This window comes from Homo sapiens, chromosome 16, assembly GCF_000001405.40.
Source record: "Homo sapiens chromosome 16, GRCh38.p14 Primary Assembly".
Classification (NCBI taxonomy): domain Eukaryota; kingdom Metazoa; phylum Chordata; class Mammalia; order Primates; family Hominidae; genus Homo; species Homo sapiens.
In genome coordinates, this window is record NC_000016.10 from 31,421,035 (window position 1) to 31,434,806 (window position 13,772).

Below are 13,772 nucleotides of genomic sequence, written 5' to 3' on the forward strand. Positions count from 1 at the left end.
TTATGTTGCTGTTGTTTTATGGTGGTTTTCTTACACCATCTTAAGTACTTTATATGTATTTACATTTATTTAATCCTACCAATAATTATATTGTTATCCCTATTTTCACCAACAAAGACATCAAGAAGTGAAATACTTTGTTCCTGTCAATCTCCAAGTGGGCAGCAGAACCAGGAATCAGACCCAGACGGTTTGGCTGCAGAGCCCATGCCCATGGCCATACATGGCATGCCTCTCCAAGGACTGGGGAAAGCTGGGTGGTTTACTTAGATCTGAAAACAGGCTTAGGCTGCGCACGGTGGCTCGTGCCTGTAATCCCAGCACTTTGGGAGGCCAAGTGCTGGGATTACAGGCATGAGTGGGAGGATGGCTTGAGCCCAGGAGTTTAAGACCAGCCTGGGCAACATAGTGAGAACCCATCTCTACCAAAAAAAAAAAATTAAAAATGAAAATAAAATAAAACTTTAAAAATGAAAAGAGGTTTAGAACTAGATTTTAAGATGAGAAAACAGAAGCATAGAGAGAAGGGTTTGGGGTGGGGGGCACAGAGGAAAACCGGCATACTTAGGGAAAAATAAACCTTAAGATTTATGGAGGAGTCCCTGTGTGCTGGGCACTACCAAGCCCTGGTCACAACTCTACTACAGGGAGGTTGCTACGGTTTGCATCCCCATTTTAAAGAGTGAAAAGCTACAGTTTCCAGAGACGTGAAGTGGCTTGCCTCAGTGACTCAGGTAGGAAGTGGTCGACCTGAGATGTGAACCTAGGCGGTTTGACACTGGAGCCCATGTTTTTAGTCATCAGGCTGATGGGGGGTGGACTGCTGGGGCTGTTTCTGTGTGGCTGGTCTGGCTGCTGCATGCGAGGTGCAGGCCCCTCTGCTGGTCTGCTTACTTTTGCTTTTTGTTTGTTTTGAGACAGGGTCTCACTCTGTCACCCAGGCTGGAGGGGAGTGGTGTGAACATAGCTTACTGCAGCCTCGACCTCCCAGGCTCAAGCAATCCTCCTGCCTCAGCCTCCTGAGTAGCTGGGACCACAGGCGTGTGCCACCACTTGCAGCTAATGTTTGTATTTTTTTTTTTTTTTGCAGAGACGAGGTCTCTCTGTGTTGCCCAGGCCAGTCTTGAACTCCTGGGCTCAAGCGATTCTTCTGCCTTAGTCTCTCTAAGTGTTGGGATTACAGGCGTGAGCCACCTCGCCTGGCCAGCTTGCTCATTTTTACTAAAACTTTAGATGTTAAGTGGTGAGAGGGCAGGGAGTTATGGCTTAACTTGAATCCCCAGTGCCAACCACACAGCCTGTGTTTGCTGAAGGAAGTTTGGGTGGAAAGACCCCACCTGCTGCCTGGAACACTGATGTCCCTTCCACAGGCTTGTGCACAGGCACTATCTTCCTTCACATTTACTCACCTGCCCCAGGACAGCCGAATCTATTTTCTTCATTCCCACCATGAAGGGGCCCTCACTCCATGTCTTCCTGAGTGATCCAGCTCTCATTCCTAGAGTCCCCTTAGGCTAACTTGTTCTGCTACAATCTCTGTAAGCATTACCAGAGGCCAAACACTACCTATTAGAGAAAGCAATGCAAACGCCTTTGCCCCATGTAGGAGACATGAGGTTTAAGTTGGGTCTTTAAGTGTAAATTTCCAAAACTGGAGACAGTAAGAACGTTCCAAGGAGAAGAGCTTGAGCAAAGTCATGAGGCTATGAAAGAGCCAGCGGTGTGCATGGCAGAGCTAGTGGATCTGGGTGATGGGGGCAAGGGACATCGGAGGGAGGGGAGCTGAAGCCGAGGCAGCAAAGGTTATGTGGGACCATCTTTTACTTATTTACTTTGAATAGGGACAGGGTCTCACGATGTTGCCCCAGCTGGTCTGGAACTCCTGGGTTCAAGAAACCCTCCTGCCCCAGCCTCCCAAAGTGCTGGGATTACAGGCATGAGCCACTGTGCCCGGCCAAATAATGTCCATCGTTATTTCCCTGAGACATCTGCCCAGCCCAACAGAGCTCTCTGCAGTAGGACAGGGCACAACTGGGGACAGTTTCAGGGCTGTTTTTCACCCACAGGCTCTCTCTCCAGGCAGGAAGAATCCACCAAGTACTTCAACTTTGCAACCTCCGATGAGAAGAAAATGAAAGAGGCTGAGCATCGATACCGTGTGAGAGTCTAGGGAGTATCCATGTCTGCCTTCCACGTTGTGGATAAAGTTGGAAGTTGGTGGAGAAGATGGAGAGGAGCCTTGGGGTAGGGCCAGGAGGGAAGTAGGATTTGGAAGGCTCCAGAGACCACAATAACACTCTGCCTTGATTTCCTGCAGGTGAATAACCTCAGCCAGCGAGATCTGGCCATCAGCATTAACTTCTGGGTTCCTGTCCTGCTGAACGGGGTGGCTGTGTGGGATGTGGTCATGGAGGCCCCATCTCAGGTACCCGCCTATCTCTCCTCTTTCTTCAGACTGACATCCCACAGCACAGCACTCCCTCTTACCAGGGACATGTTGCTCATTCTGTGGCTAAGTGCTTCTTTCTCTTCCCAGAGTCTCCCCTGTGTTTCAGAGAGAAAACCTCCCCAGCATTCTGACTTCCTGACCCAGATTTCAAGAAGTCCCATGCTGGTGAGAAAGTCCCTGAACCCCCACCGCCAAGATCAGCCCCCACCGGGGATACTGGGAAATGTACTGCTAGGCCACAGAGTTCCGTGCATGTCCTGTAACTGCTCATCTGTTCCCCACCCCAAACCTGACCATATTTTTTCCTATGGCTCCCTCCTCAGGGAAGAACCCCTCAGTTTCACCCCTCTTCTGCCCCCAGGACTGCTCCATTGCTGACTGCCTGCAGTTCCGCTGTGACGTCCCCTCCTTCAGCGTCCAGGAGGAGCTGGATTTCACCCTGAAGGGCAATCTCAGTTTCGGCTGGGTCCGCGAGGTGTGTGGGGGCAGCGGCAGAGCCCCTGCCCCAGACTCAGGCAGGACCTGGCATGTCTGTGCCCATCTGCAAGCCAGGGCACCCCCGAAGCTCTGAGCCTCCCCCAGAGCCAGTTCCACAGGTTTCCCCCAACCCCTTTGCAGACATTGCAGAAGAAGGTGTTGGTCGTGAGTGTGGCTGAAATTACGTTCGACACATCCGTGTACTCCCAGCTTCCAGGACAGGAGGCATTTATGAGAGCTCAGGTAGAGACCATGTGGAGGGCAGCGACCAGCTGGAAAGAGGACCCCTAGGGCTACATCTGTGGTGCTGGGTGGGGGGTTTGCAAGCCTTGCGGGAGGAGGGTGAAAGTCTCTGGGCAGGACAGCTGTCCCTAAGGGCACGGGTGCTACTGTGTCTCACTCCTTGGAGCAGAGCCTCAGAAAGGAGGGGAGAGAGTTAAAGGTTGCGGAACCTGGGAGGCATCTGGGATGGCATGAGGCCGGATGCTCTCTGATCTCTAAATCAGATGGAGATGGTGCTAGAAGAAGACGAGGTCTACAATGCCATTCCCATCATCATGGGCAGCTCTGTGGGGGCTCTGCTACTGCTGGCGCTCATCACAGCCACACTGTACAAGGCAAGTGTTTTATCCAACTCTTTTTTTTTTTTTTTTGAGATGGAGTTTCCACTCTTACTGCCCAGGCTGGAGTGCAATGGCATGATCTTGGCTCACTGCAACCTCCACCTCCCGGGTTCAAGTGATTCTCCTGTCTCAGCCTCCCGAGTAGCTGGGATTACAGGTGGACTGCACCATGCCCGGCTAGTTTTTTGTATTTTTAGTAGAGATGGAGTTTCATCATGTTGGCCAGGCTGGTCTCGAACTCCTGACTTCAGGTGATCCGCCCACCTTGGCCTCCCAAAGTTCTGGGATTACAGGTGTGAGCCACCTCATCCGGCCTTATCCCATTCTTGACACCACCAGCATCCAACCCAAGCCCTCCTACAGACTGGCTGATATAGTGAGAACTCAGACTGTGGAGGCAGACAGGCCTGGACACACATTTTGGCTCTATCATGTACTCACTGTTTAATGTTAGGCAAGTTGCTCCACCTCTCTAAGCCTGTTTCTCTCTTTCTTTTTTTTCTTTTGAGATGGAGTCTCACTCAGTTGCCTAGGCTGGGGTGCAGTGGCACAATCTCAGCTCACTGCAACCTCCACCTCCTAGGTTCAAAAGATTCTCATGCCTCAGCTTCCCAAGTAGCTAGGACTACAGGCACACACCACCACACCTGGCTATTTTTTGTATTTTTAGTAGAGAGAGGTTTCACCATGTTGGTCAGATTGGTCTCAAACTCCTGACCTCATGTGATCCGCCCACCTCGGCCTCCCAAACTGCTGGGTTTACAGGCATGAGCCACTGTGCCCGGCCGTTTCTCATTTTTGAAATGATAATAATGCTTATATCACAGAGTGGCTGAAGTGAGAGAGAAATGAGGCCAGGGCATGTGCACAGATCTGCCTGGATCTATGCTGTCCTGCCACGGGTCGTGTGTGTACCTACTGTGCTCGGGGCCAGCAGATGCTCGATATATGATAGCTGTTCACATAAATGTTCTCGCACACAAACGTAAGTTAGCTTAGTTGTTGCCTCCTCTTCTCTCTCAGCTTCCTCTTATTCCCAATTTTCTTCCCTGCCCTCTTACCCAGCTTTTCTTTCTTTTCTTTCTCTTTTCTTTTTCTTCTTCTTCTTTTTTTTTTTTACATGGAGTCTTGCTGTCTTGCCCAGGCTGGAGTGCAGTGGCATGATCTTGGCTCACGGCAACCTCTGCCTCCCGGGTTCAAGCGATTCTCTTGCCTCAGCCTCCTGAGTAGCTGGGATTACAGGCGCACCACCACACCCAGCTAATTTTTGTATTTTTAGTAGAGACGGGGTTTCACCATGTTGGCCAGGCTGGTCTCCAGCTCCTGACCTCAGGTGATCCACCCTCCTCAGCTTCCCACAGTGCTGAGATTACAGGTGTGAGCCACCGGGCCCGGACTTACCCAGCTTTTCTAATTTATTTCCCCTGATAGCTTGGCTTCTTCAAACGCCACTACAAGGAAATGCTGGAGGACAAGCCTGAAGACACTGCCACATTCAGTGGGGACGATTTCAGCTGTGTGGCCCCAAATGTGCCTTTGTCCTAATAATCCACTTTCCTGTTTATCTCTACCACTGTGGGCTGGACTTGCTTGCAACCATAAATCAACTTACATGGAAACAACTTCTGCATAGATCTGCACTGGCCTAAGCAACCTACCAGGTGCTAAGCACCTTCTCGGAGAGATAGAGATTGTAATGTTTTTACATATCTGTCCATCTTTTTCAGCAATGACCCACTTTTTACAGAAGCAGGCATGGTGCCAGCATAAATTTTCATATGCTTAAGAATTGTCACATGAAATGAGGATGTTTATAGCACACTTTCCTTGCGTGGAAGAGCTATAACCCAGGGACCTGAGTGCCTCTCTGGGAATAGTCGGGGGAACCTATTTGTGGGCATTGAAAAAGTTTTTTCACTTTCTATGGTGATGGGAGCCTGAGGTCATCTTTTCTTGATGGGGCTGAGAGGTGTGTATCAGGGGAGAGGGTCAAAGAGTGTGTGTGTGTGTGTGTGTGTGTGTGTGTGTGCATGTGCATGCACGTGCACGCAGGCATGCATTGGTCATGGGTTTCTTCACACACTTCAGGTTCCTCTGTAATGGTAAGTGGGCAGGCTGTCCTAGGAGGTGAAGAAATGTCCAGAGCTCATTTGAACTCCTGTCCCCCTTGAATGAGGTACTCAGAAGCCAGGAGAGCCAGGCTAGGAGCATGTGATTTCCCATATAGAAGACTCATTAAGAAAGATTATAGGCCGGGCGCGGTGGCTCACGCCTGTAATCCCAGCACTTTGGGAGGCCGAGGCGGGTGGATCATGAGGTCAGGAGATCGAGACCATCCTGGCTAACAAGGTGAAACCCCGTCTCTACTAAAAATACAAAAAATTAGCCGGGCGCGGTGGCGGGCGCCTGTAGTCCCAGCTACTCAGGAGGCTGAGGCAGGAGAATGGCGTGAACCCGGGAAGCGGAGCTTGCAGTGAGCCGAGATTGCACCACTGCAGTCCGCAGTCCGGCCTGGGCGACAGAGCGAGACTCCGTCTCAAAAAAAAAAAAAAAAAAAGAAAGAAAGATTATAGAGAATTATCAAAAGATTCCAAATCCAGCATTAGGTCCCAAGGCCTCACACACAGGACTGTGGAGCCTCCGTCTGAAATCCAGAGAGCTGGGATTCACAGACACCAGCAGCTCAGGTGTCAGGCAAGAAGTGGGACTTCAGGATCTGCAGCCCTGGGCTCCCATGGGGGCTCTGCCGAGCTGCCGGAACTTGGACAAGTCATTTAATTCCCAAGAATCTCAGGTCTTCCTCGGGAGAAGGTGAACTAAATTTATACCCTGCTCCCAGCGTTACTGTGAGGATTCGGTGTACGCGGAAGCCCATTACAGCCTAGAGCCCTAATTATTAATAGGTGTGTGTGAGAGGGAGGCCTCATTATTACCAGGTGAGAGACAGGGAGCTGGGATCGCCTACCTGTGAGTGGAGGAGGCTCCCTCGAGCACCTCCGTATCAGCGGCGTGGGAAAAGCACGTGGAGCGCCCACCGCGCTAGGCGCATGCGCGGAGCAGGAGCGCTTACCAAGCTGGGCGCATGCGCGGAGCGGGCGCCTCTGGGCGCGCTCCCCGTGGCCCCGCCCTCCCCACAGAGCCGCAGACTCGAAGCTTCACACCTTTATTGTGTCCGGGGGCGTCCGGGGCCTCAGGGGTGTTCGTAGCCCGTGGGCAGAGGGTTCACGTGGCTATTGTGGAACAGAGTGTGGTTGCCGTCCCCCCAGGGGTAGGGCTGTGGAGAGAGCGGGGGAGGGAGCGCGCGTGAGCGCCGTGAGTCCGGAGTCCGCGCCCCGCGCGACCCCCCCCCCGCAGCACCCCCCCCCGCCCCCGCAGCACCCCCCCCCGCCCCCGCAGCACCCCCGTGCCGCCCGCGCGCCCGTCCCGCGTACCTTGGTGCGGATGCGGAGGTGTTGGTAGGGACGGAACTCGGGGCGCGGGCGGTGGCCCGAGTGGAGATAGGAGTTGAAGGTGCAGAGGGCCACGCTGGGCAGCGCCAGCACGAAGGTCAGCAGACGCCAGGTACGAGCTGCGGACGGAGCGGGGTGAGCGCGGCGGTCCTGGGGCGGCGGGCCTGTGAACAGGTGGGCAGGGTAGGGGAGCCCCCGGATCCGCCCGTTCCCCACTCACCTCCTGCTCCTCCGTGGCCTCCTTTGGCAGCGCTGGCCAAGCCCCGGGTCAGGGGCCTCAGAGGCAAAGCCATGATGGTGCGGGGAGCCGGGAACCAGCGCTGTCCTCGCTCCCTTTCCTGGGGCCTGGGGTCACCTCCCCTCTCTGGGCCAATCACCTGTTGAGTCTGGAGCACTGGCGGCTATTCTTAGGGGTTTCTATATTTAAAATGGGGCCTGACTGGCTTGAGGTCATCTCCAGACAGCTGTTGTCCTGTGCCTCTTATTTTGGCAAGGAGGCATTTAAGTACAATATGCCATTCTTTTTATATAGTTGCAGGGAAACTATTTTGTTCCCTATTCTATGCCTGGTGGCTGGCACACAGTTGGGCTTTAATAAATATTTGTAGAATGAATTAAGTGTCTTTTTGAGTCTCAGTGTTTTCAGCTGTAAAATGTATAATAATTCGTACCTTAAAAGATTTTTTAAATACTGGAGACGGGGATCTCACTATATTGTCCAGGCTGGTGTGGAACTCTTGAGCTCACGTGATCCTCCCGCCTCAGCCTCCCACAGTGCTGGGATTACAGGCATGAGCCACTACACGGCCCTTACATCATTTTTATGAAGTTTATGTAAGGTAGGAATGTGTCAACCTGGATTTTGGCAGGTAACAGTAGTTCAGTATATGTATTAGTCACAGTTCTTTGCAAAGAACAGAACTCACTCTTACTAGTTTTAGAAGATAAGTAATTGAGAATCTTAGGTAGCTTACTATGTCTGATATAGCCAGAGATGCCTACAGTCTGCACAGTCATAAACAAGTCATTCCGTTGGCCAGCTGCAGTGACACCCCCACAGCTCACACTGCTGGACCCTGGATGCCAAAAGCTTCATTAAGGCTGCCCTGGAAAACCAGAATTTTCCACCCTCATCCCCTCTTGAAAACAGATTCTTCATGAAACCTGTATCCTGGGTCGCTCTTTTCTGAAAGAATTATGTGATTGCACCAACTGGCAACCCCTAGGTCCCCCAGCTGCAGGAGGGGATGGGAAACTGAGCTCTGGATTCTGCCTTAGGGAGGCAGGAATTGTAGGGAAAATCTCCAGGTCTAGGATGAGTATTCAAAAGGTTCCAGGCAGCCACAAGCCTGACAGGTGTCTACTGCAAAGTGCATTATTTCAATCTGAAAAATATGACTACTTGGAGAAAGCAAGCCTAGACAGGGCTGGTGTGAACCCTCTATCAAAGCAGGTCACAAGAAAGCCACAAGACCAGGCAGGGATGACATCTGCCTGTTCTGTCCTCAGCAACGGGCAGGGACCTTGGCATGAAGGAGGTGTTCTAAAAATATGTATGTAATGAATGCTTGAACCTTGTTACTTTGGTTAACCCTACAACAATGCCTTTTCAGAATTACAATCCAATAGGAAGCTTCTAGCTTTGATCAAGGGCTGATGTACTAATATGAACTTAATATACAAAAGAAGAATGAATTATATAGACATATAATCTGAATTTAATATATAAAAAAAACGAGGAAGATATATTTTCAAGAAGGGGCTCTATACCTGTTTCTCATTGGTAATAAACTGAACAGTATGTTCCATCCAACTTTAAGCTGCTGCTATTTTTAAAAAAAATAACCTCCTTGAGCAGTCAAATGTTATACAGTGTTACAAAAATTATTCCTGAGCTCTCACTGAGCTATAATAGAATTCTTCCTACAGTTTTTTTCCCAGCTGGACTTTGGCATTGTTGCAGAGAAGATGGGGCCCTATTCCAGTTAAAGATACCTGGCATCTCCCTCTACACATAGCCCCCTCCCTACGTATATAAGATAATGGCTCCTGGAGAAAACAGACATGAAGACAGGTATTTTTACTTGACAAAGTTCTAGAGGCCTGGCATAGTGGCCCACGCTTGTAATCCCAGCACTTTTGGGAGAATGAGGAGGGCGGATCACTTGAGGTCAAGAGTTTGAGTCCTGCCTGGCCAACATGGTGAAACCCCATCTCTACTAAAAATGCAAAAATTAGCTGGGTGTGGTGGCCCGTGCCTGTAATCCCAGCTACTCGGGAGGCTGAGGCAGGAGAATCGCTTGATCCCAGGAGGTGGAGGTTGTAGTGAGCCAAGATTGTGCCACTGCACTTCAGCCTGGGTGACAGAGTAAGACTCTCTCAAGAAAAAAAAAAAGAAGGAAAAAAGGAAGAAAAGGTTCTAGGTTTCTTTTCTCCCCTAAAAGGCCCCTCAGAGTTTTTCTGGTTGCTGCCAAACAATTCCCTGGGAATTCCCATCCCTTTGTTCTCAGCTTGGGAGCTCCTGTGGAGAGGTTTTCTTGCTGGGATGTCAAGAACGCCCTGAGGAGGGCCACTTCTGTCCTGGGCTGCTGTCACCATCACGAGGTGCACTTGCCCAGGTACCCAGAGACCTCCGCTCAGGTGGTCTGTGCTTTTCTGGGCTTGTCACCATCTTACCTGCCTCTCTAGAGGGTGTGCAGAGCTGTCTCTTCCAGGCTGTGCACTCACCATTGTTTCTGTAAGTTCTCACTCACACAGTTCTTAACCTGGCTGCTGCCAACACTTTCAGTTTCTAGAGGTTTAATTTTTCCTCCACTTTAGGCAGAGGGAAGAACAAACTCACCAGGTGCTAAATAAACCCCGGAGGGCAGCATCTCAGCCTCTGTTCAGAGTATCTCAGCTGTTGGTGGTGAAGGAGGTGGAGGCATGACTCAGGGTCAGTTTCTCTTGTGCCCTCTTCCTGGGATGCTGCATACCATGACCACATTTTCTAAAGCAAAGATCGATTACATGTGATCTACTAAGTATAAATGTTTATGGGGGCCCTAGGGACAGCGTATTTGAAATTAGAATAGTCCTGGAAAAACAACTGTGATACAGGACATGGGTTAGCTAGAACGAACAGGTACAGAGAGATGGAGCTCAGACAGCATTGGGGTGGGGTCCAGTGGCAACAGGGACATAGACTCTAAATAAATGGGGCTCTGAGCTCCCTCTGCACTTGGGAGGGGCCAGTGGCTATGTGATAGTGGATGTCTACTGTTTTGTGTCATATGACCAATATATCTATGCCTTCTTTTCTGATACTGACACACACACCCCTGCCCCCCTTATTCTCAGTTCAAGTTCAAGTGGGGTTGACTCCCTCCTCTAGCTCCAAGAAGGGCCACATGATCCAGGCCTACCCAATCAGAGCATTCTATTCTCCAGGTCATAGTGATTTTTTTTTTTTGAGACAGAGTCTCACTCTGTCCCCCAAGCTGGAGTGCAGTGGTGCAGTCTTGGCACACTGCAACCCCTGTCTCCCATGTTCAAGTGATTATTCAGCCTCAGCCTCCTGAGTAGCTGGGATTACAGGTGCACACCACCATGCTTGGCTACTTTTTTGTATTTTTAGTAGAGATGGGGTTTCACCATGTTGGCCAGGCTGGTCTCGAACTTCTGGCCTTAAGTGATCTGCCTGCCTCGGCCTCCCAAAGTGCTGGGATTACAGGCGTGAGCCACCCCACCTGGCCGTAGTGATTGTTTTTTGTATTTTGTTTTGAGACAGAGTCTGGCTCTGTCACCCAGGCTGGAGTGCAGTGGTGTGTTCATAGCTCACTGCAGCCTCGAACTCCTGGGCTCAAGCATTCCTCCTATGTCAGCCTACCAAGTAGCTGGGATTATAGGCACAAACCACTGTGCTCAGCTAATTTTTTAATTTTTTGTAGAGATGGGTCTCACTGTGTTGCCCAGGCTGGGATGATTGTTGTAGGGAGGGGCACAAGTCCATGAGTTCCAATTTTCAGGCCTGTCTCTTGGACTGTTGAAACACAATTATACTTCAACTGGACTTGGAGCTGCTGGAGCCTCAGGCTGGGGCCTTCAATTGAAGCCAATATTGAAGCCATTTTCAGAGCAGACCTGAAAAATGGGAGATCTAGCCTTGTTAATATTATGTGAATCCCTGAGTCAAGATGTGCCGGAATTGAGAAAGAGCTGAACTCTTAAGACTTTTCAGTTATGTGAAATAACAAATCCCCTATTCGTAAAAGCCAGTTAGAAATGGGGCTTTAAGTCCTAATTTATTGTTAAACATTTTTTATGAAGCTATACCACATCTCTAAACTTTTACCAGCACATTTCTGATTTCTGTTCCCCTGTACTGTGATCCATATTTTATTGAAGTTTTGGGGCTTCTTTTGTAGAAATGATAGAAATGTATTTAATAAACATTCTGGAGTATGCATGCCTTTAATGAATTAAACCTCATAGGCACTTGATATGAAGGGATTTAATGTTTGTGAAAATGAAGTGAGACAAATAAATTACACATTGAGATACAGCCCAAGTTGCTAAATGTTTAAAGGTTGAGGCTTGTAATTTTATTTTCTTCCATTTCATAATAGTGTAGTGACACATCACAATACATCTCTACACTGTGACTTGATTTCTCCCGAATCTGTGTCTGATGCTGGGAACACTGATGTTCTGGCTGAATCCATGACACTTGCACACTTGTGCTCAGTTTGCCTCATGACTGGGGTCACTCCAGCCAAGGCTGCAAACTAGGACAGAGTTTGAAACTGGTGCTCCCCTGCGAGACCTTTACTTCACATATTACAGAACCAGGACCACTAGGCCAGCTGGTCTATAAAGAGCGCCTAAAATGGCAACCTATTAATCTCAGATTTTTTTTTAGATGGAGTCTCACTGTGTTGCCCAGGCTAGAGTGCAGTGGTGCGATCTCAGCTCACTGCAGCCTCAGCCTCCTGAGTAGCTGGAATTGTAGATGTGTGCCATCACGCCCAGCTAATTTTTGCATTTTTAGTAGAGATGGGGTTTCACTATAATCTCACCATCTGAAATTATGGCCAGACTGGTCTTGAACTCCTGACTTCAGGTGATCCACCTGCCTCAGCCTCCCAAAATGTTGGGATTACCAGCGTGAGCTACCGTGCCTGACCATAATCTCAGATATTTTCTAAACCAGTATTTTGCCACCAGTAAATGCTGATTATTAAAAATACACTCAAAGGCCTTTTTGTCCTATGACTGATGCTGCTGAAAATTTGATGTAACCATCTTGGCAATTTGTGGTAATCTCATTTCTACAAATGTGTGGAGGAGATGCACGAGACCCGAGTAAATAATATTGTTTTCAGTTGCTTTTTTCTGTTATCACTATAGACATAACCGTGGAATCATCGAATGACAGGCACAGTAACCAGGAAGACATAGATTGATTGGGTGGGGTCACCTTCATAGTCACCTTGGCTAACTTTCCAATTATGTACACATTGTATCTTGGGAGGACAACAAGGATGAAAGAAACCCAAGTTTTAGCATAGAATACTTGAGCAGCTGGAAGTGGTTCCTTCACATAAGTAATATTAATTGAGCACCCACTGTGAGCCAGGCCCTGCACCAGGGTCTCTGCTCTCGTGGAGCTCAGTCTGCTGGGGAGATAGGTTACCAGACAGACATGCCCTATGTTCTTAATGCCACTGGAGCACTCACCACGTCAGGTGTGACACGAGAGGTGGGGCAGTCTCTAAGTGGAAGTGGGGCTCATATGAATGAGTAGGGCAAGTCTGGGAGACAGAAAAGGGGAAAGGTCATTTTGGGCAGTGGAAAGAAATAAATCAAGTGCAAAGACACAGAGGTGCAGGAGGCCCTGGCCAGCAAAGGCACAGAGGTCAGGCGAAGCCCAATGGAGAAGCATGCATGCCACGCTAAAGCATTTGAACCCTGTTCTGTAGGCCCTGCTGGGGTCAGCGGAGGGGGTGGAGGGGTGGGAGTGGCAGGCAGGAGATCCTTTCAGGCAGGAGACTGACATCAGATTTAGTGTTGGAGTCTGGAGTCTGAGGGAGGAATCTATAATAACTGGTAGGTTCTATGGATGCTGAACCAGAATGCAGAGGCGGGAAGCAGGGGAGATTGGCTAGGAGTCTTCTGCAACAGTCCAGGCTCATGATGACAGGACTTGCACCTGTGAGAGAGCACAGGCCACAGAGGGCACGGGGTGCTGTCGAAAAACTCTTCTGAGGTACAACAAGTAGACGGCAGTGCCTGATACTACTTGGATTGGGAGAAAGAGGCATCAAGGACTGAGGTAGCAAGCTTGGAACTGAACCAGTAATGCTACCACAGACTTTCATGCAGTTTAAATTCTCATAGGGTAACTTTTCTTCCTCACTCTAATAGCACATCATTAAGACAACCAACAAACCAACAAACACTTTTTTTTTTTTTTTTTTTTTGATTCGGAGTCTCGCTGTCGCCCAGGCTGGAGTGCAGTGGCGCGATCTCGGCTCACTGCAAGCTCCGCCTCCCGGGTTCACGCCATTCGCCATTCTCCCGCCTCAGCCTCCAGCTTGGCTGGGACTACAGGAGCCCGCCACCATGCCCGGCTAATTTTTTTGTATTTTTTTTAGTAGAGACGGGGTTTCACCGTGTTAGCCAGGCTGGTCTCGATCTCCTGACCTCGTGATCCGCCCTCCTCTGCCTCCCAAAGTGCTGGGATTACAGGCGTGAGCCACCACGCCCAGCCGACAACTAACAAACACTTTTAAA

The 13,772-nt window shown here is 49.7% G+C and overlaps 2 protein-coding genes across 16 annotated transcripts in view; one reads left to right on the top strand and one right to left on the bottom strand.

Annotated features, from left to right (window-relative positions):
• The window catches only part of ITGAD (integrin subunit alpha D), a 33,171-nt gene extending 27,700 nt beyond the window's left edge, over positions 1 to 5,471 (top strand). For 11 of the 15 annotated variants that reach the window (XM_011545835.4, XM_011545839.3, XM_011545837.3 and 8 more), the window contains 7 exons: positions 2,080 to 2,158; positions 2,318 to 2,425; positions 2,537 to 2,614; positions 2,811 to 2,924; positions 3,068 to 3,169; positions 3,433 to 3,543; positions 4,981 to 5,471. In XM_011545835.4, the coding sequence (XP_011544137.1) occupies positions 2,080 to 2,158; positions 2,318 to 2,425; positions 2,537 to 2,614; positions 2,811 to 2,924; positions 3,068 to 3,169; positions 3,433 to 3,543; positions 4,981 to 5,094 (706 nt within the window). In that variant the 3' untranslated portion in view covers positions 5,095 to 5,471. Of the gene's footprint in view, positions 1 to 2,079; positions 2,159 to 2,317; positions 2,426 to 2,536; positions 2,615 to 2,810; positions 2,925 to 3,067; positions 3,170 to 3,432; positions 3,544 to 4,376; positions 4,535 to 4,980 lie in introns of those variants that run through there. The other 4 variants (XM_017023215.3, XM_047434071.1, XR_950791.3 and 1 more) reach the window with 3 other exon arrangements.
• On the bottom strand, positions 6,697 to 7,326 carry COX6A2 (cytochrome c oxidase subunit 6A2). The gene is made up of 3 exons (NM_005205.4): positions 7,219 to 7,326; positions 6,981 to 7,117; positions 6,697 to 6,823 (listed from the first exon to the last, which is right to left on the bottom strand). The coding sequence occupies exons 1-3, from the start codon at positions 7,289 to 7,291 to the stop codon at positions 6,740 to 6,742; spliced, it is 294 nt and encodes a 97-aa protein (NP_005196.1). The 5' UTR covers positions 7,292 to 7,326; the 3' UTR covers positions 6,697 to 6,739.